Source organism: Homo sapiens, chromosome Y (genome assembly GCF_000001405.40).
Source record: "Homo sapiens chromosome Y, GRCh38.p14 Primary Assembly".
Taxonomy (NCBI): Eukaryota; Metazoa; Chordata; class Mammalia; order Primates; family Hominidae; genus Homo; species Homo sapiens.
Genome location: NC_000024.10, coordinates 9,608,515 through 9,635,816, shown reverse-complemented (window position 1 = coordinate 9,635,816; position 27,302 = coordinate 9,608,515). Strand labels below are relative to the sequence as shown.

At 38.1% G+C, this 27,302-nt stretch overlaps 2 pseudogenes across 1 annotated transcript; one reads left to right on the top strand and one right to left on the bottom strand.

Moving 5' to 3' along the window:
- Window positions 9,465–11,634, bottom strand: TSPY25P (testis specific protein Y-linked 25, pseudogene; annotated as a pseudogene).
- On the top strand, window positions 20,664–25,096 carry RBMY3AP (RNA binding motif protein Y-linked family 3 member A, pseudogene; annotated as a pseudogene). Its single transcript, NR_001573.2, has 3 exons — window positions 20,664–20,727; window positions 20,934–21,035; window positions 24,946–25,096. The product of NR_001573.2 is annotated as an RNA binding motif protein Y-linked family 3 member A, pseudogene (transcript).
- Window positions 25,097–27,302: the final 2,206 nt, after the last annotated feature.

Here is a 27,302-nt window from a genome sequence, read left to right as displayed (position 1 = left end):
GTCCTTCACGTCCCTTGTAAATTGGATTCCTAGGTATTTTATTTTCTTTGAAGCAATTGTGAATGGGAGTTCACTCATGATTTGGCTCTCTGTTTGTCTGTTATTGGTGTATAAGAATGCTTGTGATTTTTGCACATTGATTTTGTATCCTGAGACTTTGCTGAAGTTGCTTATCAGCTTAAGGAGATTTTGGGCTGACATTATAGGGTTTTCTAGATATACAATCATGTCATCTGCAAAAAGGGACAACTTGACTTCCTTTTTTCCTAATTGAATGCCCTTTATTTCATTCTCCTGCCTGATTGTCCTGGCCAGAACTTCCAACACTATGTTGAATAGGAGTGGTGAGAGAGGGCATCCCTGTCTTTTGCCAGTTTTCAAGGGAATGCTTCCAGTTTCTGTCCATTCAGTATGATATTGGCTGTGGGTTTATCATAGATAGCTCTTATTATTTTGAGATACATCCCATCAATACCTAATTTATTGAGAGTTTTTAGCATGAAGGGTTGCTGAATTTTGTCAAAGGCCTTTTCTGCATCTATTGAGATAATCATGTGGTTTTTGTATTTGGTTCTGTTTATATGCTGGATTATGTTTATTGATTTTCATATGTTGAACTAGTCTTGCGTCCCAGGGATGAAGCCCACTTGATCATGGTGGATAAGCTTTTTGATGTATTGCTGGATTCGGTTTGCCAGTATTTTACTGAGGATTTTTGCATCAATACTCATCAAGGATATTGGTCTAAAATTCTCTTTTTTTGTTGTGTCTCTGCCAGGCTTTGGTATCAGGATGATGCTGGCCTCATAAAATGAGTTAGAGATGATTCCCTCTTTTTATATTGATTGAAATAGTTTCAGAAGGAATGGTACCAGCTCCTCCTTGTACCTCTGGGAGAAAATTTTTGCAACCTACTCATCTGACAAAGGGCTAATATCCAGAATCTACAATGAACTCAACATATTTACAAGAAAAAACATAAAACCCCATCAAAAAGTGGGCAAAGGATATGAACAGACATTTCTCAAAAGAAGACATTTATGCAGCCAAAAAACACATGAAAAAATGCTCATCATCACTGGCCATCAGAGAAATGCAAATCAAAACCACAATGAGATACCATCTCACACCAGTTAGAATGGCGATCATTGAAATGTCAGGAAACAACAGGTGCTGGAGAGGATGTGGAGAAATAGGAATACTTTTATACTGTTGGTAGGACTGTAAACTAGTTCAACCATTGTGGAAGTCGGTGTGGCAATTCCTCAGGGATCTAGAAATACCATTTGACCCACCAATCCCATTACTGGGTATATACCCAAAGGATTATAAATCATGCTGCTATAAAGACACATGCACACGTATGTTTATTGCGGCACTATTCACAATAGCAAAGACTTGGAACCAACCCAAATGTCCAACAGTGATAGACTGGATTAAGAAAATGTGGCACATATACACCATGGAATACTATGCAGCCATAAAAAATGATGAGTTCATGTCCTTTGTAGGCACATGGATGAAGCTGGAAACCATCATTCTCAGCAAACTATTGCAAGGACAAAAAACCAAACACCACATGTTCTCACTCATAGGTGGGAATTGAACAATGAGAATGCATGGACATAGGAAGGAGAACGTCACACACCGGGGACTGTTGTGGGGTAGGGGGAGCGGGGAGGGATAGCATTAGGAGATATACCTAACGCTAAATGAGGAGTTAATGGGTGCAGCACACCAACATGGCACATGTATACATATGTAACAAACCTGCACATTGTGCACTTGTATCCTAAAACTTGAAGTATAATAATAATAAAAAAGAAGATATTTTAAATAAACATACAAATGTTTCCTCTACTTATACATGAAATTCTGCCTGTGTCCTTCTCTCTTCTACTACGTGATTTTACATGGATAATGAGTCAAAAAATGTGAAGTGCTGGTAATATATTTTATCTCACACTTGTAAAATGTTTTTCTTTGAAAATACCACTTGTTCTAATTTTTAATTTTTTTAATTTCTTGGAAGTGACAATTGAGACAAGGAAATTGTAAAGCAATTACTTCACAAGGTGATTGCAATGTAAATGGTATTATAAAATTATTTGGTTTTGAGGAAAATTTAAAAAGATATAGAAATACAAAATAATATAACAAATACCAATTTAACCCCACTTAAAAATAGCAGCTATTAATATATTCCTTTTTCTACTTACATTACCTCTGGTTGTAATTGGAATATTCGCCCTCAGGTTAGTTTCCTTTTTACCATTTCTTAGGCACCATTATCAGGAACTGGTATTATATTCATATTTTTAAAATTTATTAAAATATTTATTTCTGAATAATACTGGTGTTTTGTGAATTTTGAGTGTTTATGTCAATATTATAATGTGTGTATTATTTCACATTTTTTTTCTGTTAAGATTCTTGTTGACAGCTGCCATTATTGATGGCATAGTTCGCAGTCTACTGAATTCTTATGTTCCATGATGGCTTTATTGAAATGCTACAATGAAAAACCTTCCCTATCCCTCCAGTTACACATATGTGAGAGTTTCTAATGAATATACTAGAAGAATGTCAGGACTGCAGTGTGTGTACAGTTTTAATTTTGAGGAGATAAAATATTCTCATTAGCTCCCTGGACTACCACTTTATTACTATTGTTGATCCATGCTAATCAGCTTAGCATATGTCTTAGATTTTTCATTTTTAGTGAAGTATTATTATAAGTTACATTAATTAGAACCAGCATGTGTGTGCTAAATGTTCATTTTGTTTAACAATTACAGCTTGTCAGGCCTCTATCAGTATGTGAGAAAAATAAAATGTTAACAGAACGATGACTTTAGTGTGGGGATAATCTGAAAATCAACTTTAGTTTCCTGACACAGTTCACACAAAACATAGATCCTGCTACTTTTCAAGGACTGCATGTAGCAGACTGAGTGACGGTAAATCAATATGCACTGAATCAGTAGTAGCTAGGGATGAGTAGTTTCTTCCAATCTTGCCTGGTGATGGAAGAAGTATTTGACATGGTTTATTTTTTGTTTTGTTTTGTTTTCTTTCTATGTGGTCCACTTATATGACACTCCCAGATCATCGTGTGGTAGGTTTGGGGAAAATGAAGGAAATAATAGGCTAGATATACGTAAATTATGTGCTAGAAATAGAAGCTTAACACACAGAGCATAGTTAATTGGTCTGGCCACAGTGGTTTTGTCATCTCTCATATACCTACAACTATTTATGGGCTGCTTGCTAATGACTATTTTACAAAAATCTGTTTCAGCAGCAATGGTTGAAAAATGCAAGTAGGTATTTAATTAAAAACTTCTCAATTTCCCTTTAAATCAAATTATGGGTTGAAAAGTGCCAATAAACAAATGATGTAATCATAAAGCCTTGTATTCCATGTTAGAACCACAAGGCTAAAAGTGATATCCTGAAATCCAGCATATAGAAAGCTGAGGGGAAAAAGCAGCTGCTATTTCAGAAGGTAATACTTAGTTACATTAAGAAAACTGTGCCTGAAGATGACATTTTCACAGGTTTAGTATGTGAATTCGGAAAAATTAAGCATATAATTCTGAGATGCAGGGCTTTTTATTTACATCAAATTACTATTTTTTAAAAAATCAATTGTGTATATATTTTAATTCTAATTTTTTTGCAGTTAAGAAATATGCATCAGTAATTGTTAGTATGTTAGCTCCATTAGCTACAGAAGAAATTCCAAAAGAATTCAATAATGACATTTAGATGTTTCAAACAGAAAATTAAATTAAAAATGGTTTGAACATTTAGTCAATCATTGGAATTAAAATAAAGCTCTTGAAATTTTATTGTGCGAGAAATAAAACATTGAATAATGTGACAAATGATTTTTAATGTTCAGTTACACTAAACATTGTTGATAACTTTTATTGGTAACAAGAAGCAACTTTGGAAAAGCTTGCAAGTAACTTTATTTTAAAAACCAATATAAAATTGAAAGAAATGCATTTTCCAGAAAAGAACTATGGATAATTATTGATAAGAAACAGATCAGTTCATATAAATATGTTCCGGGGTCATTATTCTGCCTACTATTTCTAATGTTTAAATAATAAATGTAAAGAAGCTATTTTTCTGTTTTGCTTGAAGATATGTAATTGTGGTTTTAAATTTTTGAAGGAATTTCATTTTCAAAAATAGTTGGAAGATAACTATGTAATAGATCCATCGATATAGTAAAAACAATTTGCCTGTAAGGAAATAATATACTAAATAATAAATGGTTTTGTATATGTTAGGACTCTTTTATCCTAAAAAAAATTTCCGTTGGAACAATAACCCTTGTAGTCACCCTAATTTTACTAAATATCATTAGATAGTCCTGTGGATTGATGGAAAAAATTACACTTTTCTTACATTCTTGACTCCACTCAGTGTTATTATTTTAATAGTTGCCAAGCTAATGAAGGAAAGTTAGAACCTAATGTGGTTTTGATTTATATCCCTGGATTACTAATGAGCTCAAGCATCTAGTCATTTTTCGTTGGTCATTTGACTTTCCTCTTTTCTGAAAAAGATCTAACTACTTACCTGTACTGCTTTTTCCTTCTCCTGGGCTAGATTGTATATATTTTTTCTTGTATATTTGTAAGAGTTATTTTTATTATTTTGGATACTGGTATTTTTATTTATATTTTTCTTAGTGATTTTTCTTGAGTTTTATAAACACTCAAGATAGTTTTTAGAATTTATGATCTGAAGATTTTCAAAAGGCTAACTCAGAAGTCATTTGTGGCTATGATGCTAACTTCAAATGAAAAAATAATTTTGCCACTTTAGCAAAACATACTTTAAAGATACTAATTAGAAAGCACTGAAGTGCTTAATTATGTCTTTTTCATAAAACTCATCTAAATAGTCATTTCAATAAAATCATTTACCCTTATAGTAAGAACAAATTATTAAATGTTGATTACCTAGCTCCTGCATGGTTTTCTAAATATCTCACAATTGTCATTTGTTAATAATCTCTTAGCATACTTGTTAGAATTACTGGTTCTCCAGGTCTCATTTCAGATGATTGAACCAGGATTTTGAAGGAAAATAGCTGGAAGTATCTGGACATATATTTTATGACCCACATAATTATTTGGGGTTGTTTGTGAAACTTTGGTCTCACACATAAGAGAAAGTAAAAAAATAACAAAACAAAACAAACAAAAAAAACCCAAAACACAAAAAAAATAAAAAACACACACACACACACACACACACACACACACACAAGAACATCAAGTCAGGAGTCAGGAATAAATACCTTATCCTTCCCTCACTCCAGGCTTCTCAAGTTGTATGCCCCTAAATGCATTTTCATTCTTGGCAAATACTACTCCAACTATCTAGCACTTCAGAGTAGTAATTAACCTGTTAGTTTGCAATTTAGCAAAAAATAAGAAACCTATTTCTTAACATTTTCTTTAGGATCATATTTCTAGCTATACCCTGTGTGTCAGTTAATGCTATGTATGGCTATAAAATAGCAGTATTTAACAAAAATATTTGACCACTGCAGCAAAATTACCTTCTGTAAATGATCCACTGCTACTAAGATTAACTGACAATTTGGAGATTGTACTGGCATTTTGAATTTCATACATTCAAGGAAGATTGGAAAGCATCTTCAGATGCCATTGTCTATAATGATAATAGTTAATAATCATATTAACTTCCAAATTTTTCTGTGTTAAAGCAGGTGTGCAGGTATTGGATGAACAGGTAGGCCACTACTGTGGTTAGAGTTGTAAAAGTTTTGGTGAAATTGCACATGACAGCATCTCCACAGAAAATTTAGATTTTGGCACAGCTAGGAGAGGTGGAAGAAAATGACGTTTTTGTTGTTGTTGTTGTTTTTAATGATTCCCCATCTGGATCTTAAAGGGAGATAGCACAATATTGTGGAAAGAGGTATTTTTGTAATCTGAAATTAGACTTTAAGAGAAGTTAAGTATTTTGAGACCCAAATTTCAGACATATGAAGTGGGGTCTAAAATATCTAGTACCTGTATATGTAGTTATAAAGATCATGTAATGATGGATTCTATTTGCCTTGTACTTGTCTGTAAAACAAAGCCCTCATTTAATTGTGTTACTTAACATAGCTTCATGTGGGCATTTTTAAGGAACATTTATCTCGTGATAAATAAAATAGTAATATTTGCAGAGAATGGTACTTTCTCCAACATTGATATTGCAGAGCTCCAGCTGTTCTGTAGAGAAACTGACACAAATTGAAAAAAAAAAAGGATGATTGAAGGTTGTTTAGGGGCCAGTCATTATTTACTGAGACTATATAATTCTCAGAGGGGACACACAACCTGTGAAGAGTTGGATGTGAATGATGAAGAGTCATTGAGAAAAGGCTGCCTGAAGAATCATCCTCTACATTTCTAGCTTGAAACACAGGGTATTTGGTGCTGTGAATTTCTGAAATAGTGGAATACTGTAGGAGGAAACATGTTTGGAGGATGAAATGAAGATCTGGTTTTGTTAGTGGAGATGTAAGGCATGCAGTTGGATATGCCAAGTCTGAAGGTCAGAACAAAGATCTGGCCTGAAACTGGGAATTTGTTAATGGTCAGCACAAAAAGGGTGTTTTAGCCTTGAGAAAACCCAAGAGGATCCATGACTGAGACCTGAACAATGTCACCACCTACAGATTTAGTAAAGATGTCAACAAAATACAGACCAAAGTTCATATTAAAATTAATGGGAACAGTCAAACTACTTAGTGAGTGGTATTCAGTCAACTAGCATTTAGCTAGTTATTGGCTAGCAAATTTGGGGGAAAAATGTATAAAGAATCTTTGATTAGGTTTCCAAATATACAAAATAAAAGCCACTCACATGTTAGAAGTCAATATACAAAATTATATTATGTTAATGGTACTATTTAGTGCTAATAGAGAAAAATGAAAATTATTCTGAATTAAATCAATAGACAATGTATTTTCTATCGTTGTCTTTGTTTTCTTCTCAATTTATTTGTGTGTCATTTTAACTCACTAAGCAATGACTCCTCTTAATCCCATTACTTTTTATTTAACACTGCATTTGTTTTTCATGTGTACAATATCATACTGCCCAATAGAGAGGAAATGCAGAATTTGGGCTATTATATCAGAAACATCTTTGCTTTTCAGATTTGGACTTCTGGAGTGTGGTTAATTTAAGTATTCTCATCAGGCCTTGATATTTCAGATTTCCATAATCACTTCTCCAAAATAAACAATGTCTGAAGGTGATGACTACAATAAAATTAAAATTATACTGGCTTTTAAGATAATTATGTTTATGTAAATGTGACGCCTTTTTTGGGGGGGTGGGGTGGAGAAAAAGTTTTGCTCTTGTGGCCCAGGCTGGATTGCAGTGGTCTGATATTGGCTTACTGCAACCTCCACCTCATGGGTTCAACTAATTCTCCTGCCTCAGCCTCCCGAGTAGCTGGGATTCCAGGCACTTGCCACCATACCTGGCTAATTTTTGAATATTTAGTAGAGATGGGGTTTCACTATGTTGACCAGGCTGGTCCTGAACTTCTGACATCTGGTAATCTACCTGCCTTGCCTACCCAAGTGTGCAGATTACAAGCATGAGCCATGCCTCCTAGCCTTCAAATTACATTTTCATACACACTCACTCACACAATTTTTTGTAACTATCTGCATGTTCTCCTCAGGTGGGGGAAAAACAGTAACAGAGTTATTGAAGAATATATGAAAGAAAGAATAACAGTACTACACAAGGTTGAACCTATTCACAATACTGTATTTAGTGAATAAAAATATTACTTTTAAAATCCTACTACAGTATTCAGTAAATAAATAAAATATATTATTTCAGTAACTCTAAAATACATGTACATGAAGAAAATAGAACAAGCGTTCAAATACATAAAAAAACAAATGAGGCCAGGCATGGTTGCTCACACTTGTAAGCCCAGCATTTTGGTATGCCAAGTCAGGTGGATCACTTGAGGTCAGGAGTTTGAGAGCAGCCTGGCAAATATGGTGAAACCCAGTCTTGACTAAAAATACAAAAATTAGCTGGACATGGGGGCATGTGACTGTAATCCTAGCTCCTCAGCAGGCTGAGGCAGGGGAATTGCTTGAATCTGGGAGGCACAGTTTGAGGCGAGTGGAGATCCTGCCAATTCACTCCAGCCTGGATGACAGAGCAAGACTCCATCTCAAAACACACACACACACACACACACACACACACAGAATAACCAATGAAAATAAAAATTTTGTACTAGAAAAGGTACTCACAGCCAAACTCACATATCTAACAGAAAAAAAAAGTCCTTTAAAAATTCCACAAGAGGCAAATAAGAAAACAAATTTATCACCTTGCATATAAAGTTCAAATAATAAACTGAAGAGAACCACAGGAGAAAAAATTCAAAATTTACAAGTAAGTACTCTAAAAGAAGCTAAAAGTCACTCAAAAATTTTCGGATTCTATGTCTGTACATTGCAAACATGACCATAAAATTTGCCAGGAGCAGAACAATCAAAATGTATCTTAAAATTCAATAAACACTTCAAGTCTCACATAAGAATTGTAATGGAAAATGGATGCATCTGCAGTATTTCCATACAAATCTGAACAAACAGTATTTCTTCTTACTCATTGTTTCACTATTCCAAGAAAATAACTTCCATATTAATATTAGGGGATGTGACAAAGCAGGTCTTCATCATGATAAGTAACACTGGGTGTCCACACCAGTACTCAGGTGGGCCTTAATTCCCCACCAGTTTCCCTCCCTGGACACACACTGAAGGTCCCCAGCTATTTTGCAGTCTCTTCACATTTCCTCCCCTGTAAGCCCAGTGTGGTCCTTCAGATTCCCTGTGCAGTGGCCTCTCGTCTGGAGGAGTGGGCCAGTGTGAGTGAGGATGGCAGAGGGGAGTAAACATGTCAGGGGAGCCTGGGATCATTGTAACTGAAAATGATGGGCCTGGGAGAGCCATTCTGGGAGGACACAGAGACTGGCCCTGGGGGACATCTGTGTGGAGGGTGAGAGAGAGTGAGAGAGCCCAAACTGAGCACCAAGTGGTAGCCGGCCTCAGGGCAGGGAAAAGAGCGGGCAGGGATGATGAGACAGCTATCCCTTGAGCCTTGCTTCTCACCCACTGGCCTTAAACACTTATGCCCCTTAGGAGGCTTCAGGTGCCCCAATCCTAAAATGTGGGTGTTACAGTTCTCTGATGGCCATTTCTCCACCACCCCTTGAATGGCTTGGGATTGCTCACTGCAGTCACCTCCCTGAGGCTCAGATTCTCCATGTGGGGCACAACTCCAGGAATCAAAGGCCTCTCAGTCCCCAGCCCTAGACTGCTCACCTGACCTCCTCTCTGTTCCCTCTCTAATGGCCTCCCTCCATTGGAATGTACGCAGGGTATTGAGCACAGGCCCTGGCTGACGATCTGGGGGACTGCAGACGGGGCTACAGGACAAATCAGGTCATGGCTCAAAGCCAATTACCCAGAGGTGAAGGAATGACCAGCAAGGTTCTTTTCCATGATGCCCCACCATGGTGCCTACCTCAGCTATTCTGCCAGAACCTGGGCACCCATGGTCAGCCAACCAGCTGAAAAAGCTCAGGTAGGAGGTGTAACTGCCTGCAGCATTGACCTTCAGGATGCCACAACCACTGGACTGCAGTGGAATGAGATACCCTGTATCCTAGAGAGAGAGGAGACAGACAGGTTCATGCCAGACCCACCCTCCCATACTCCACCTCCCCTATTATGCTGGGAGGCCCTCCTTACAGAGGATGCCAACACAATATCCCTTAATGATACCTTCATTGTGGAAATAAAGGTTATGATGAAAGGAAAACTTCATCCTGCCACTGGTACTCAGGATGGCTGTGTTCCTCTCCCTACCTGGCCAAGAAGAAGAAAGAGGACGGACTCAAAGGACCATTTCATGTAGCTAGGCTGAGTTTCATGGAGTTTCACTGAGTTAGCTGGAGTGAAGAACGCGTTTCCCCTTTCCAGCTCTCCCGCTGAGACACCCCGCGGCCCCAGAGCGACCTCAAACTCACTCAGAAACTGAATCCCTCCTGCAGACCCAGGTTCCTTAGCCTGACCTACAAATCCGTCAAGTAGCTTAGGAAGACTGACTTCATTATCATTTGTGATCCTGGCCAACATCTGCGTGTGCCGCACAATCTGCCTCTGGTCAAGGAGCCGCCAGATGACTGGGTGGGCATGCAAGGAGACACCCTGCAACTTTGCAAGAGCACGGAGAGTGTGGGGCAGGGCTACCTCGCAGGACTTTGGTCTAGCACCTTCCCTTCCTGGTCCTTTGTCTCTGTCTGGCATGGGGGGCACCATCGCGGCTGTGGTGGTCTTGGCCGCCCAGACAGCGTGCTCTGACCAGGGTCAGACACAGAAGAAGTGGTCAGGGGGTTGTGGGCGGGGTATTGTGGTGTCAGGCGGCTACTTGCTCAGAGTTCCTGAGCTGCAGGAGGCCCTCGTGTGCTGGGTGCTGGACAGCTTCTGCTGCTGTCCGGATGTGCGCTCTCCCCTTCTCCTGGTCTCCCTGAGGGGTGGGCTTGTACACACGAGGGAACCTCTGTGGGTAGAAGTGGCTGCAGGGCTATGCCTGGCTCTCCCCATGGGGCTCGTGTGGGTTCAGGGGAGGTTATATATGCTCAGGGCCTACACGTCTTTGGGTGCAGTGCCGGGGGAGGGAAGAAATCCTGTCTTGGGAGCTGTTGCCTGCCTTGCAGGGTACAGCAGCCCTGTGCACTGTGAACCCAAGTCTTGAGCACCTTGTGTTTCTGGGGTGAGTCTGCTGGACACAGGCATGGGGAGCAGGAGTAGTTCCATGGCTGGCATGGGCATGCAGACTCCCTTTCCTGCAGGGACTTTCCCAGTGAAACCTGTCCTTCAACTTTCTGCTGTTTATGAAGGGTCCTTTGCGCTGTTATTCTCCCTTGTGTGTGTTGTGCTTGGCTTCCTGTTCTTACCACGTGCCCTCAGGGCACCCGCAAGCAAGCTGCCCTCCTATCTGCAGGAGCCTGTCCTCGGTTGCCATCCTTGTCCCCCAGCCCCTGAATCTTGCTGACCCCTGGTGCCTACCACCATGCTTCTCCCAAACCCTCTCCCGGGAGCTTGATGCCCACCCGCTGCTGCCAGCCACGCTGAATTGGCAGCTGCAAAGATATGGCTCTGGCCCAGAAGTAGGGGATGCCCTGCAGCCTGCGGCATTCACGGAGTCCAGCTCCAAGTGAAGGACGTCCAGAGAGTCTGTTGTGGGCCGTGGCGTACTGGGGCCTGGGCCAGGCTATGCCTGCTAGTCCTCCAACTGCCGCTCCACATTGGCCTCCTTGGTCACCACCTCCATCTCTGCCATGGTGTCATCCCCCACTGCCATGCCTCCTCCCGCAGGGTTGCCTCCCTGCTCTCACACAGTCCGCCCTCTCCTGCAGAGCCTAAAGCCTTAACACAGTGCCCTCCTTGAGGCTCCCACAGATTAAGGCCTGCACCCCCCATCTCACCTCCCTAGCACCCCTAGACTCTAGAGGAAGCTCCCGGAGGAGCCCGCCGGCCTAGCCCTGCTGAGAACCACGTCTCACACCTAGGTGTATACAGGGCTCCTGGGGAGCTCCTCAGGGCCCACAGCCTGCCGCGCTCTTCATGGGGCCCAGACACCCAGCAGGGTTACCTGCGCACAGTAGCCCTGGAGTCGGAGGCCGAGGCCCTGGGCTTCCAGAGCCCCGCTAGCAGGCACTACGGCTGCTACTGCTCTTGCAGGAGACTCTGCGCCAGCAAAGCAGTGCACATGGGTCATCGAATGGGGGACCATGGCGGCTGGCCTCCCGTGTGCCCAGGGCACAGGATGAGAGGTCCTTTGGAATGCCCCTGTGAGTAGAGTATCCTCAGGGAGGAAGTGTGGAATTCGGAGTCTGCATTTGCCTAGACCTGAGAGTCCTTGTGGGGTTTTGGCTTCTGGTGCAGATGAAATCCACCCCAGCAATGTACCAGTCGACTTTCCTCCCACGTACCAGCCCTGCCCAACCGCCCCCTAGCCACCACTGCTGCCCTCGCCCTAGCAGGCGGCTCTGGTCCCTCTCTCTCTCCTCTGGATCTGCAATATTCAGTACCATCAGCCTAGCCTGCCTAATGAAGTGAGGTGTTTCATGTGTTCCCTGTGGATCAATGTTTTGCCACACTCAGCATGCCAGTTAGGGTGTAGGCCTTCCATGCCCACAATTCCAAACGGCTCACAGTCCGCGTGTGAATGAATCCACCGCCGCGCGGCACAAGCAGCTTCTCAGGGGATGCTTACCAGGGGAGGCTGGAGCTGTGGGACAGGAAGGGGCGGGGCACCTCGGGAGACACCTACAGCCCTCGCAATAATTGGCCGATGCCCACCGCCCTTGCAATGATTGGCCACTGGAGGTAGGCAGGATTTCCGGGAATGGTTTCTCCCGTCCTTCCAGCTCAGGCCAGCTCCAGGTGTCCTTCCTGCAGTTGGCCCTGTAGTGTCCCAAAACAGGATGCATAGGACCAGAGGCCCGGATCCTGAGGCTGTTTGTCCTACTGAAAAGCACCTCCACTTTCTGTTTCTCTGGACAGGTTGGTCTCTCGGCAAGAATAGAAAGCAAACTTTTGGGATTTTGTCTGTAAAAGGGGATGGGTTTTCCATGTGCGGGTGTTGAATTGTGGGAGGAGACAATAGGGAAAGAACTCCTTAGTACTATTAACTCATTTTTGTTAAACTCACTGATTCTTCTTGAGGATTCTACCTTTAACTGTTGGATATGTCCGACAGGTGGGCAAGTTGCGGGAGATGGTGCTAAGGTGACATTGTTTTCATGTGCACTTTATATTAAAGTAGTTTTTCACTGTGAAATGTGCTCATCATTCAAAATACAGGCAATATACTTAACCACTGCAATTAAAAACTTATACTTTTCGTCAGCACATGTCACATGTCTGATTTGCTTGGAAGGAATTATCAAATTTTGACATAAATTGTGTGACTTTCATGTATGTAGAAATGTGGGGCCATAAATAATCTCAGTTTAAATTTGCCTCTGTAAAAACTGTAATTGTCTTCTTCCTTGCATGACAGTATTTGAAACATGTTTCAGGTATCTCTGGCAGCGTAAATAATTTAAACTAAGTAAGTGGATGTAATCAAGATAAATGGAGTTAGATAGCCTAAAACGGGAACAAAATAAATGCGCTTAAGTTATTCTATTAACCTGGCACACTGACTTACTCTTGTAAACCTGCCATTTTGGGAAGAGGAGGTGTGAGGATGGTTTGAGGTCAGGAGTTGGAGACCAGCCTGGGTAACATAAAGGGCTCCTTTAATATATTGCCATTTTTGCAATGGGGATCAGTTTAGTGGGAGACAGTTTTTCCTCAGACAAGGGTTACACAGGGGAAGAAGGTGGCAAGGTGGACACCTTTGGCAGTGGGGGCTGGCAGCAGGGCCCGGAGGGGCACGTGGTGGGGCTGGGCTTCCAGTGGGAGCAGTGTGACAGAGGGCGGGTGGGGCAGCGGGGCTGTCACAGGGACAGGGTGGGGCAGCAGGGGAATAGGGAGGATGGTTTCTGGATAAAACTATACTACTTCAGGTCATCCTCAAGCTTTACATTCTCCACAGACAGGTATTACAGGTCATCCTCAGGCATTACATTCAGGCCACAGACAGGTACAGGTTGAAGACCAAGATTTGGGAATCCTTAACCTATTGTATATTTCAAATTACTAAAAGATGGTAAACTATTTAAAGTGTTCCCCCCTAAGAACATTTTAATTAGCTTGATTTAATCTTTTATCCAAATATCATTCTGGGTGTGGTGGTTCACCCTTGAAATCCCATAACTTTGGTAGTCCCAAGACAGCAGATCACTTGAGCCCAGGATTTGGAGGGTTTGGGCAATATGGGGTAACCAGTGTCTATTAAACACACACACACACACACACACACACACACACACACAAATTGCCCATCTCTGGTAGAAAGCCCCTGTAGTTCCAGCTATTTGGGAAGCTGAGATGTGGGAGGATAGTTGAGGTGGGGTGGAGGAGGCTGCAGTAAATAGTGCACTCTGGCCACAAGAGATATACATCTCAAGAAAAAAAAATACACAAAATATCACACTGTACCTCATAGATATATAGTTTTCAAAAAAATTATTTAAATGGGGGCATCTTTCATATTGCAACTTAGGAAAATTACAATAGCTTTGCTTATCTAATGTTTAGAAATGAGATTTTGTGAGGTACATATTAAAATGCATCATTTGTCCATGAAGTCATTGCCCCATTTGCTCTAGATGTTACAAATTTTACATATTTAAAGTAAGAAATACTAAAAAGATGTCAGCCTCTGGAAGGGAATTTTACTTGAGTTTTCAACACAGTATGTAACAAAATTTTATCTTTTTAGCTTATTTATTTTTATCTAATTATAGATAATTTTTTACCACCTACAGTACAATGGCAGAAGCAGATCATCCCAGCAAGCTTTTCATTGGTGGCCTCAATAGACAAACCAATGAAAAGATGCTTAAAGCAGTATTTGCAAAACAGGGTCTCATATCTGAAGGTAACACTTAAAACTGTGTGTGTGTGTGTGTGTGTGTGTATTTTCATAGGTATACTTCAATATGTATATTTAAAATATGTTATATGTTTTGAAAAATATATTTTTTTCAAAGTTCATTGTATGCATACACTAAAATGCTTTATCATTTTTAAATTCTTACTTTGAAGTTTCTGTTTGATATTTGGAAAATCTCATAGCACCAGATGAAGGGTTTGTGGTAAGGATCACCTACTACTTAGAAAGGAAAATGAGGAAAAGTAAATGTGTTGTGGAGTTCAGGAACAAACTGGAATAAAATAGGCTGACTATAGGGGTGACTTAGTATTAAGAATCATAGCAGTGATGTGAAATGCAGTTATTTTTTGGTTTGATGTAATTTTCAGATAGTACCTTGGTGATTCCATTATATAAATGTAAAATGTTTTCATATGTTTTAATTCTTTTGTTAAAGGATTGAACCAGCAAGTCCAGAGGCTTTGTGTTTATTATTTTTGAGAAAAGTGCAGATGCTAAGAATGCTGCCAAAGATATGAATGGAAAGGTAAGTTTCCCTTATAAATAATATTCTAATGCTGTTCTTCAATTAACAGAATTTCCATGTATTTTTATTATTACTAAACTTTTGAAGGTTATAAATGCCATCTGAACCAAAATGCTTTAGCCATGTTCTTCTTTTTGCCATATACATGCAAGTGTAGTTTGAAGGGTATTGGAATAAACATTATATAAATTAATATATGATAACCTTTTTCTATGTTTTTATTTCTATAGATAGATTTTTGAAGCTTTTGAAGATCTTTAAAACTTAGAAGGAATCCTCATGTGAATGAAAGGAATAAGTCAATATTTATTAAATGCTATTAATGGAATTACATCCAATTCATGGAAATACTCCTAGAGCATAGACAAACTGTGGATAGACATCTAGACAGACTCACAAAAAGGAAAGATTCTCTCCCACTTTCTGAAAATATATTTTTGAGAAAGTATATTTAAATAAGACCTTTATATTTATGGAAGTGTCAAGTACTTGAAAATAGAAAATAATATGAGAACATTGAAGTTGGATAACAGAAGAAGTAACTGGCATTTTTGCCTCATCCTTGCTCTCTTCTCCTAAGGACTTTTTTTTCCTGTCACCAGAGTGATTTATGTAACAGGAATACCTAATAACTCATTTTTCCCAGTGTGTTTGAGGACTTGTTTTGATCCAACCAATGGTCTCTTGTCCTACTGAGTCTTAAATCTAGGGATTGTGTGTTTACTAAAGCTTTAAACTTTCATATAATTCTATTAGCTATTGAATTCTTTTACATGGTAGTCAACATCCTTCCATTCTGGGCCCTTTAGAGGTTTTTTTTATTTATAACATTATCCCAGTCAGGCAGGGCGTGGTGGCGCAAGTCTATTATTCCAGCACTTTGGGAGGTCCAGGTAGACGGATCATGAGGTCAGGAGATGGAAACCATCCTGGCCAACATGGTGAAATCCCATCTCTACTGAAATACAATAAAATTAGTTGGTCAGGCTGGTGTGCACTTGTAGTTCCAGCTACTCAGGAGGCAAGGCAGGGGAATCAGTTGAACTCAAGAGGCAGAGCTTGCAGTGAGCCGAGATCAAGTCACTGCACTCCAGGCTGGCAACATAGCGAGACTCTGTCTCAAAGAAACAAAAAGTAATCATAAATAACATTATCCCAATGTGTTTTTAGCTCCTGTTACTCTCTATGCTATCCCCCAAATGCTTTTTTGGACTCCTTGAGAATTATCCTTCCCCGTGTATGTCTAAAAATAACAATTTATGCTTCAAAGAAACCCCTTAAATTTCATATTTTCTTCCTCATTGCATATCGTAGGTATTTTATACTCACTGTATCATGTATTAAACTATTGATTGTTAAATTGTCTATAGTGCATATTTAAGTCTTTCTAGTTGTTTTTATTTCTATTACATCTAGCACACTTCCTGGCACATAGAAGAAAGTACATTTTTATTCACTCTTATAAATTAGTAGTTTTTCTTTTTTTTTGAGACAGAGTCTTGCTCTGTCACCCAGGCTGGAGTGCAGTGGCACGATCTCATCTCTCTGTAAGCTCCACCTCCTTGGTCCACGCCATTCTCCTGCCTCGGCCTCTCCAGTAGATGGTACTACAGGCGCCCGCCACCACACCCAGCTAATTTTTTTAGTTTTTAGTAGAGACAGCTTTTCACTGTGTTAGCCAGGACAGTCTTGATCTGCTGAACTCGTGATCCACCCACCTCAGCCTCCCAAAGTGCTTGGATTATACAGGCGTGAGCCACCACACCCAGCCTCACTCATAAATTAGTATTTTAAGCTGTGGTAAAAACTGAGAGTGGCTTTTGGTTCATAGCTTTGTGGTAGGTATGGAGATAATTTTGACTTAGGCACAGTAATCTATGATAATTTCTTTTTTCCTCCTATTTTTTGAGCACAAGAGCAGGTAATTTGTGTAGCATTTGTTAGTTTGTTTGTTTGTTTATTTTTTAGGACAGTCTCGCTGTGTCACCAGGCTGGATTGCAGTGGGGCAATATTGGCTCACTGCAACCTCGGCCTCCTGGGTTCAAGTGATTCTCCTGCCTCAGCCTCCTGATTAGCAGGGACTACAGGCACACACCACCAAGCCCATCTAATTTTTTACTTTGAATAGAGACGGGGTTTCACCCTGTTGGCCAGGATAGTCTCTATCTCTGCACCTCGTGATCCACCCGCCTAGGCCTTCCAAAAGTTTTGGAATTATAAGCATGAGCCACTACACCTGGCCAATGTTATTTCTAAATTACTTCCCCTCACATATTTTACTGTGTAAAAATTAATTTGAATGTTACATGCACATAAATGTTAAGATGGCCAGTAAAGGAGGTTCTTAGAGTTTTCAGGGGGAATTAACAGTTTAAGGAATTTTGGATGACTTTGGAACACTGGGAAGGAAGCAGCCATGCAGAAATCTAGGGAAAATATTTTGGGCCCAGAAATAACAAAAAAAGTTCCATGGTAGGAGCAACTGGCGATGTGGCTGCAAAAGGTCCTATAAGGTATTTAATATCTTCCCCCAAATAACAAAAGCCATGCAGTTTTTAAATCAAGTTCTTAGCTGAGCTGTTTTCAAAAATTAGAGTGGCCTACAGAAAAGAGTACACTGAAAAATGTTATTGTGAAATTAATTAGAACATTTAAGGATTTCTGAGAAATTACATGGAGTACTGTATTAAGAGTCATTTTTTATGGACAAGTCTAAGACAAAATAAGAAATGAGTAAGGCAAGAAACCTTAATAAGACCAAACAAGGATCATATTTATAGAAACATTTCTAGAGTAAATATATAATTGTAAATCATATGGGGGTATTTTATGTAAGTATTAGCAGATCAAACAAGAAACAACTCATAATGAATAATGTGACTAATCACTTTGAATAGGTAACCTCACTTTTTTAAATGACACAAGTTTCACTGCGACACTGAAAGTTTTAAATCAGTGTTGTGAATACAAAGATGAAGTGGATTATAAATGTGCCACATTATTTCATAGAATGTGTGATAGGTTAATCTTTTTTTGTTTGAGGTGTTTTTGTTTTAATAATGGAGGAGTTTTCAAGGAATTTGAATAATAACATTTGTGTTTGGTTCCATAATGGAAGGCATGTGCTCAGTAAATATCTCAAATTTGGCATTGAGAAAGATGTGTTCATTTTAGGAGAAAAAAAGGTTGTTTTGGGTGAAAATATATAGAATTGAATTATAGTTGATGTAAAACTGTTAGTAAAATGTGCTTAGGTTAAACGTGCCAATGTTATTGATAGTACCCTTAATACTTTTAGTCTTTTGATGGAAAGGCAATAAAAGTAGAACAAAGCCAAAAACTATCTTTTCAAAGTGGTGGTAGGTGGAGACCACCACCTTCAAGAAACAGAAGCCCTTCAGGAAGTGTGAGATCTGCAAGAGGAAGTAGTGGAGGAACAAGAGGGTGGCTTCCCTCACATGAAGGACACGTGGGTAATGTTTTAAAATATAAAGATGGAACCATAGGACTGAAAGAAAATAAGTTTGAAGATACTGGAATTTCTCAATTTTTTTTATTTCCTTTATGAACAGAAAATTAACATGATAAGCAAAATTATTTCTAAGTACTAAAGTGTATTATAAGAACGATTAAACTAATATCTAAAATTTGTTTTAACATTGTAATAACTTTGCATTAAAATAACACAAATTTTAAACTGAACTGAGTTTATGAATGCTGATTGCCTGTACTCAACAGGTTTTCTGCAGAATTCATTTATATTCATTATACTTTAGAGTTTTCTAATTTGAGGCCCAGAACTTCATATCAGTTGTATTATCAAAATATGATGGAATATTTAAAACTTTCCAACAGGAAAAAAGTAACTCAGTATTTAAGATTGATTTTGCAGTATTTGTTTTATTTATGTATACATGTGCAAATATCTAAGCAAATCTATTGCTTTGTAATTTCGATACAGGGAGTTTGTACATTGGCCTGCCATAAAGCATTTTCAATTTAAGAAATGCAGAAATTTAATTTCTGAAAAGAGTCTGCTACTCTGGAAAGGTCTAAACACCACTGCTTCACAGATATGTATGTTTCTTTCTTTGCTGGAGGGTTAATCACTGAAAATGATATTTATTTGTGATTTACACAATAGAAATCAGGGGTCAATTTTTACATAAAAAAGAAAAACAAACCACGTATTTAAAAAAAGAAAAAAAAACTATTAGATGGGGTGGGCAAGGTGGCTCACGCCAGTCATCTCAGCACTTGGGGAATATGGGGCGGGTGGACCAAGAGGTCAGGAGTTCCAGACCAGCCTGGCTAACATGGTGAAACCCTGTCTCTCCCAAAGATACAAAAAATTATCCTGGTGCGGTGGTGTACACCTGTAATCTCAGCTACTCAGGGGGCTGAGGCAGGAAAATTGCCGGAACCTGGGAGGCAGAAACTACAGTGAGCTGAGATCACACCATTGCACTCCAGCCTGGGGGACAGGGCAAGAGTCCTTCTCAATAAATAAATATATAAATAAACAAACAAACAAGCCTATTGGTTAACTTGTATTATGTATTAACCAAGCTTCAAAAATCTAACATTTAAGTTTGAGTTTTAATAACCAGATGTATAATTAATTGGAGATTTTTTAAAAAGTTGAAATTACAGTGTTTGCTCCATTTTAAGATGTATAGCTTCATGGTTACTTTGTCTCTATTCGTCTTGAGGGTGAGGTTAAATAATACTCTGCCATGAAGGAGAATGTGCATAGTCTAACCTGAAACACCACCTGGAAATTGGAATATATCTACATTTTTGGTAGATATATAAAAATATTTATATATTATTCAATGTGCAATTCTTAAAGATTATTAAAATTTAGCATAGTCTAATCTGAAGATTAGTGTTTTGTAAGAGAATCGTAAGAATTCTATATTATATTAACAATTTTTAGTGATAATGTATTTTCCTGATGTGTCACGTTTTGATATTGTAAATATTTAAATTTCTTTGAATGGAATTTAGTTTATGATATGCTTTGAAAATTTTTCCTCATAACAGAATGATATAAACAGTCATTTTTCATTTTTCTTTTAGTATTTTTATGTATATTATACTTAGATATTTTACTGATAGATTTCTGCTCTGTGTTCACTTCCCACTTTTCCCACATCTCTGTCTCTCACCAACATATTATGATTCTTGAGTTTCTTTCTAGATTTTCTAAATGGACTTTTATTGCATGAATTGCACTAATTTCATATAGAAATGTTAATTTTATTAGTTTAGATAAATATGAATTTGTAAGATTTTAATATGTAGAAAACCTTTATAAACAACCAAAACTTAGCCATTTAAGAAACAGTGATGTTAGTCAACTAAAAAGATTTTGTTTGAAATACACATGATGGTGGATACACTCTTGATTTCAACATGAGTTCTTCTAGGGGACCCATTCCAATTAAAAGAAGTCCATCTTCAAGAAATGGAGGTCCTCCTCCTACAAAATCTGCTCCTGTGACAAGAAGCAATAGTCGGATGGGAGGCCAAGGTAAATGCTACCTGATAAAAAGACTGTATTTTTTGTATGAATAAAAATGAGTTATTTTACCTGTCTGCTTAATTTTAAGTTCATCAAACAAGAGAAGTGACACATACATGGGCATAATTACAGATCGATAACTTTTATTATAGTTTCTATCTCACTAAGTACATTTCAGATTTATGGTGAAAATATACTTGAGCCTCTCATTGCAGATCGACGAAGTGATTGGATTGAGGCTGACATTCCTTTTCATCCTGTGTTGCTAGCAGATTCATCTTAATTTTTCTAAAAGCTCCTAGAAGTATTCTTTGATGGTAGGTTTCTTCATCTAATGAATTCTTCCATTTTCTAGGTCCCCTGGTAATGGTCCCCTGGTGTCCCAATCTAAAAATTGCTTGTTACATTTGTTTGTTGGATTGGAGTCTTGCTCTTACGAGGTCAGAGTGCATAGGTGAGATGATGGCTTACTACAGCCTCAAATTCCTGGACTCAACTAATTTTCCCGTTTCAGCCTTCAGAGTTTCTGCAACCACCAGCATGCACCACCACACCTAGCAAAAATTTTTTTCCTGTATTTTTGTAGAGAGAGGATCTCACTATATTGTCAAAACTGACCTTAAAGCCCAGGGATCAAGCAGTCCATCTGCCTCAACCTTCCACACTAGCTCATAGTGTGAGCCGCTGAGCATGGCCATCCAGCTTCTGAGAATTCAATAATGCTTATGTACAAGGCATTCTTACAGCTTATATAAAGACTCAAAAGAAATACAAGAGCATTGGGCAGAAAAGGCATCCCTGGGTTTAAATATTTTTTAAATATAAATTTAAGGCTTGAAAGGTAGACATGAAGGAGTCCAATATTCGTAAATTAACTGGATATCACAGTAGTGCAGAGTTGTGAAATATAAGGGGAAGTGAAATCAATAATTAAGATTGTACCTGAAGGACTATAAATCATGCTGTTATAAAGACACATGCACACGTATGTTTATTGTGGCACTATTCACAATAGCAAAGACTTGAAATCAACCCAAATGTCAAAAAATGATAGACTGGATTAAAAAAATGTGGCACATATACACCATGGAATACTATGCAGCCATAAAAAATGATGAGTTCATGTCCTTTGTAGGGACATGGATGAAATTGGAAATCATCATTCTCAGTAAACTATCACAAGGACTAAAAACCAAACACCACATGTTCTCACTCATAGATGGGAATTGAACAAGGAGAACACATGGACACAGGAAGGGGAACATCACACTCTGGGGACTGTTGTGGGGTGGGGGGAGGGAGGTGGGTGGGTTAGCATTAGGAGATATACCTAATGCTAAATGACGAGTTAATGGGTGCAGCACACCAGCATGGCACATGTATACATATGTAACTAACCTGCATATTGTGCACATGTACCCTAAAACTTAAAGTATAATAATAATAATAATAATAATAATAAAGAAAAAAAGGAGATTGTACCTGGATGTTTAAACATTAACACAAGATCCTTAGTGCAAGAAGTGAAATTGTTTGAGGAGAGAATTTAGAACTAAGCAATATGATGTGAGCGGTAGGACTGAATAGAAGTAATATTTTGAGAAGGAAAATTGTAAGATTGCAGACTGTACAGAAGAAAGCAAGACAATAAATTAAATTTCCTAGTAAAGAAGCTTAAGCAGAACTAATTAAAATTCTTATTTAGTCCTCCATCCCAATATGGAGGAAATTGAAAACTGCCATTTTCAACTTTACATTTCATATGTAGAGTATTGGTGAAGTTAGGTATTTATCAACTTCAAGATACATAAGCCAACATATTTCCATTGGAAAATTAGCCAGTGAACATATCATAGGTGAAAGACTGACCTCTAAGAAATAGCACATGAAGAGTATATTACAGGAGAACCTTTTCTATTTTGAAATAGCAACAATGTTGTAATCTCCCCTTTAATAGAATTGCTTATTGCAATAAAATAAATCTTGGCCATCATTAGAATATCTTCTCTAGTACATTTTAATTTGTCAACATTTAAAATAAAGCCAACCACTTAGAGATAAAGGAGAACTTTTATGTAAAAATTTAGCATGGAGTTGTTCAAAGGTGGCAGTGTTTGTGTGTGAGATGAAGTAAACAAGGGAAAATTTACCTTCTTCAGCTGAGAAAGGACAATGTACATAAACTTTAAAATCAGTGAAGAGTTTGATGGTTTTACATTTGTCCATGTGCCATTAGTAGTAATCAGTAATTCATATGAAAAGGAAAATAATAACTAAGGAAAAAGGAAAATAATAACTAAGTAGTTATTAACCATTACAAATGAACTTTTACCTATGAATTAATGTTTGGCTTCAGCTTCCTTAGAAGAATTGGCCTTGCAGGAGCCATGAGATTATCCAAAGCCATAAGAAATATTCACAGTATCATGACTGTCTAGCGATTTAAGGAATGAGGAATGGAGACATAGAAGAAATAATTTTAAAAAGTTGCTTGAGAGAAGAGAAAATAGTGTTTCAGAAAATAGTGTTCTTTTCATAATGTTCCATCATTTTTAATATTAAAGGTCCCATATCATATGGAAGAGAGAATTATGGAGGTCCTCCATGCAGAAAGCCAATCTCTTCCTGGCAAATAACCATATGTCACCAAGAGATGACGGTTATGCAACTAAGGATGGGTAAAGGAAAAATTTTTAAAAAACAGTTGATTGTTTTTGTGGTGATGAAATTCACATAACAAAATTAAACATTATAAGGTAAACAGTTAAGTGGCATTTAATACATTCTGTGTCACACACCAACTACCTCCATCGAGTTCCAAAACATTTTCATCACTCCAAAATAAACCTCCAACTACCAGTTAAGCAGTCCCTTCCATTTTTTCCCTTTCCTCAGCTGCTAGCAAACACCAATCTGTGTTCTAACTCTGAACCCCTGGTTGGGAGCATTTAATGTTAATGGGCTCAAACACTACACACTTTTCACATCTGTGATGTCCTGAAGATTCATTTACATCACAGCACTTTACTCCTTCCACAAGCTGTTAACCCATTATTTTATTTGGGTTGTTTCCATGGCAGTATTTCTACGCACTAATATTTGTTTGAGTATGCTTATTCAATTCTGGGTGTATGTGAGTGGAATTGCTTGGTCCTGTGATAATTATGTTTGTTTTCTTGAGGAACCACCACATTTCTCCATAGTAGCTGCATCATTTTCCATTCCAACTAGCATTGTATCAGGGTTCCAATTTATTTACATCCTATCAAACACTTGTTATTTCCTGCTTTTTAAAATTTATTGCCATTCCAGTGTGTGTGTGAAGTATGGTATCTCATTTGGGATTTGAAATGCGTTTTCTGTATGACTGATTATGAGTATCTGTTCCATGTGCTTTTCAGGTGTCTATTTTATATGGAGAAATATCTATTTAGATGTTTGGCCTTTTAATTTTGTTTAAGTTGTAAGTTAGTTATGTTTTGGATACTAGAAGTTGAAAATTTAAAATTTGTTTAGCTTAAACTTATGCACACAGAAATCATCCAAGTTCCCCAGAAACCAGGGATTATGCTCCACCACTTAGAGACTATGCATACCATGATTATGGTCATTCTATTCAGGTTGAACATTCCTCTAGAGAATATAGGTACTATAAGGTTTTCCAGATTTGTCAAATAGATTTCTTAAATTGTTTATTCTAGCATTAAGAAAACTTTTTTTTTCCAATTTAGTGATCAGGATGGCTATGGTGAGGCCCGTGGTAGAGATCATTCTGAACATCCAAGTGGAAGTTCTTACAGAGATACAATTCAGAGATATGATGAGGGTCCAGGATGGATTCATAAATTATAGAATTATATTTATTAGATCAGATCATTATTTTAATGAACTTCTAAGGAAAATTATAAGGGACAAATATAACGATTAAATATTGAATATTGTTAACAGTATAAAGCATATTAAATGATATGAAGGTGAGAACTTCACTTCGTGTTCAGAAAATGTGACTCAACCTTTACTTTAGGATTAAATTTGTTAAGCTTCAAAATGCTACTCTTACACTTCTTTTAAATAAAACTTCTGACTATTGCAGGCATAATTAATATCCTGCAACAAAGGCAGAGGAAAACAGATATTTCCAAATAGTACTTTAACTAATTCATGCTTTAGTGGTAGCAGTAAAAATGTTTGGATGTAGTCCAACATATTATTTTATCAACCCTGCAGGGACCTCTCATGGTGCACCACCTGCACAAGGGCCTCGGATGTCTTATGGTGGAAGAAGCCGCCATTATTATAACAATACACGAGATAGATATAGCAGAAGTCGGAGAGTTACTCAAGACACTGTGGTGATTTTTATTCCTGTTTTCATGAGCACGTTGGCAGAAAAGACCAAAGGAATCTAATTTCTCTGGATAGAGTGCACCCTGCTCCTCGTGAAGCATATGGTAGCTCAAGTTATGTGGCATCTACAGGAGATGGTAAGAGAAGCTGATCTGAAAAAGGAGACTGAAGTAGATATTAAAGCAAGTATTCAAAATAATAGTTATTGCATACCAAACCTTCTTTGCAAATCGAAAATTGAAATGTTATTTATTCATTGTTACCTGCATACCACTCAAAGCAACATGCTGGTTTTGTGGAGAGACATAGATACTTACTCCATAATTTTTCTGAGATATTCAGAGGAAAAGGAATTTTTTTCAAAGTAATTTCATACTTGTTAATGCTATTTGGAAACTCTTTGTTTAGATGTAATATCTGCATTAAAATTTTCATAAAGAAATTTTACATGTAATGCAAAATGCCTGATGTTACTGCTTAGCTACACATGCTTAAAAGCAAATTGAATAGGAGAGTAAATTGTGTTGTTTTTGAACATATTCCTTTGTTTCTTCGAACATAAGTAGATACAAAATCAAGCATATGTTATGTCTCCCTTGCAAGCTGCATAAGTTTTCTAATTATGCTGTGTTTCTCTTTAAAAAATTACAAGCTTAAAATGTTTGAGAAATCTTCAGAAGGACTACACAACTGTCTGCCTCACCATATAACATTTATCTTTTAGAGGAATATTACAGGTCAAAGGAAATAATTAGATGTGGTTGATATTAAAGTTTAAGACATCTGGAACATTCTACATGAAGGATTCTGTGACTGAAGGGGGATATTGGGAATGAAAACTTTTTTTTTTAACCTAAATCAAAACTGAACCAATTAAGTTTCTCAAGTGCATAGCATAATGAAATTAAATGTTCCTACTTTAAATAGTGGAACGTATGTGTTTTGTCTTGAGAGTTATGCATGTTAATTTTTTCTTGAAAGATTTGACAATGGATACTATAAGTAACGGTTTAGCAATAAGTTCTTACAAACAGGAATAATCTAGTATAGTTGGGATTTTATCAATTTTTTTTTGAGATGCAGCGTAGCTTTGTTGCCCAAGCTGGGGTGCAGTGGCTCGATTTTGGCTTACTGCAAACTCTGCCATCTGGGTCCAAGCTATTCTCCTGCCTCAGCGTCCTGAGTAACTGGTATTAGATACGTGTGCACCATAGCTGGCTAATTTTTTGTATTTTTAGTACAGACAGCATTTCACCATGTTTGCCAGGCTGTTCTTGAAATCCTGACCCACCTCCTCAGACTCCCAACGTGCTAGGATTATAGGCATGAGCCACAACTATCAGCCGATCAGATTTATTTGAAGATGCGAATGTGAACGTTTTAGACCTCATACTTTTGGAAAGTGAAGTATATAAAACATAAAACAACAGCCTAAAGTTTCAGACAGGGGATTGCTTAAAGGTTTAATAAATCATCAAATGATAAAAAAAATAAAATATTTGTACCCAAATAACTAAACCAATTAATTTTTCTGATTATCCAACCTAAAGAAATGAAATATATGAAGTTCTAGAAGTTTTACAGTCCATCATTCTTACAATTAACAGACTATTCTGCAAGGACAAAGTATTTTCTTGGCAAAATTTTAATAAGATCATCAATTTTTATAGGGTAAGGGTGCAAATAATTTTAAAGGGAGAAGTTACCAACTTTGATTTTCAAGTGAGTTATTCATGTTATGAAGTTGTGTTTTCATTCATCTACAATGTAGCATTGTGAGGATGAAGTAAAAAGATAAATTCCCTAGTCTTTTGTATGTTACTGTCCAGGTGTGATGGCTTAGTTCTTTAATTGCAGCACATTGGGAGGCCAAGGCTTGCAGATCACTTTAGGTCAGGAGTTCAAGACCAGCCTGGCCAACACCATGAAACCTATCTCTACCAAAAATACAAAAATTAGCCAGCCATGTTGGCCCACACCTGTAGTATGTTACAGCTAATTGGGAGGCTCAGACAGGAGAATCATTTGAACCTGGGAGCCTGAGACTGCAGTGAGCCCATATACAGTCTAGCCTGAGTGACAGAGCAAGACTCCAACTCAAAAATAATTATATAAATCAACAAATATGTAGATAATCTGGTATCCTTCAGTTTAAGCACTTATCATTTCTTTATTATTTTTAGAGACAGGGTTTCACTATGTTGTCCAACCTGGACTGCAGTGTCACCATCGTAGCT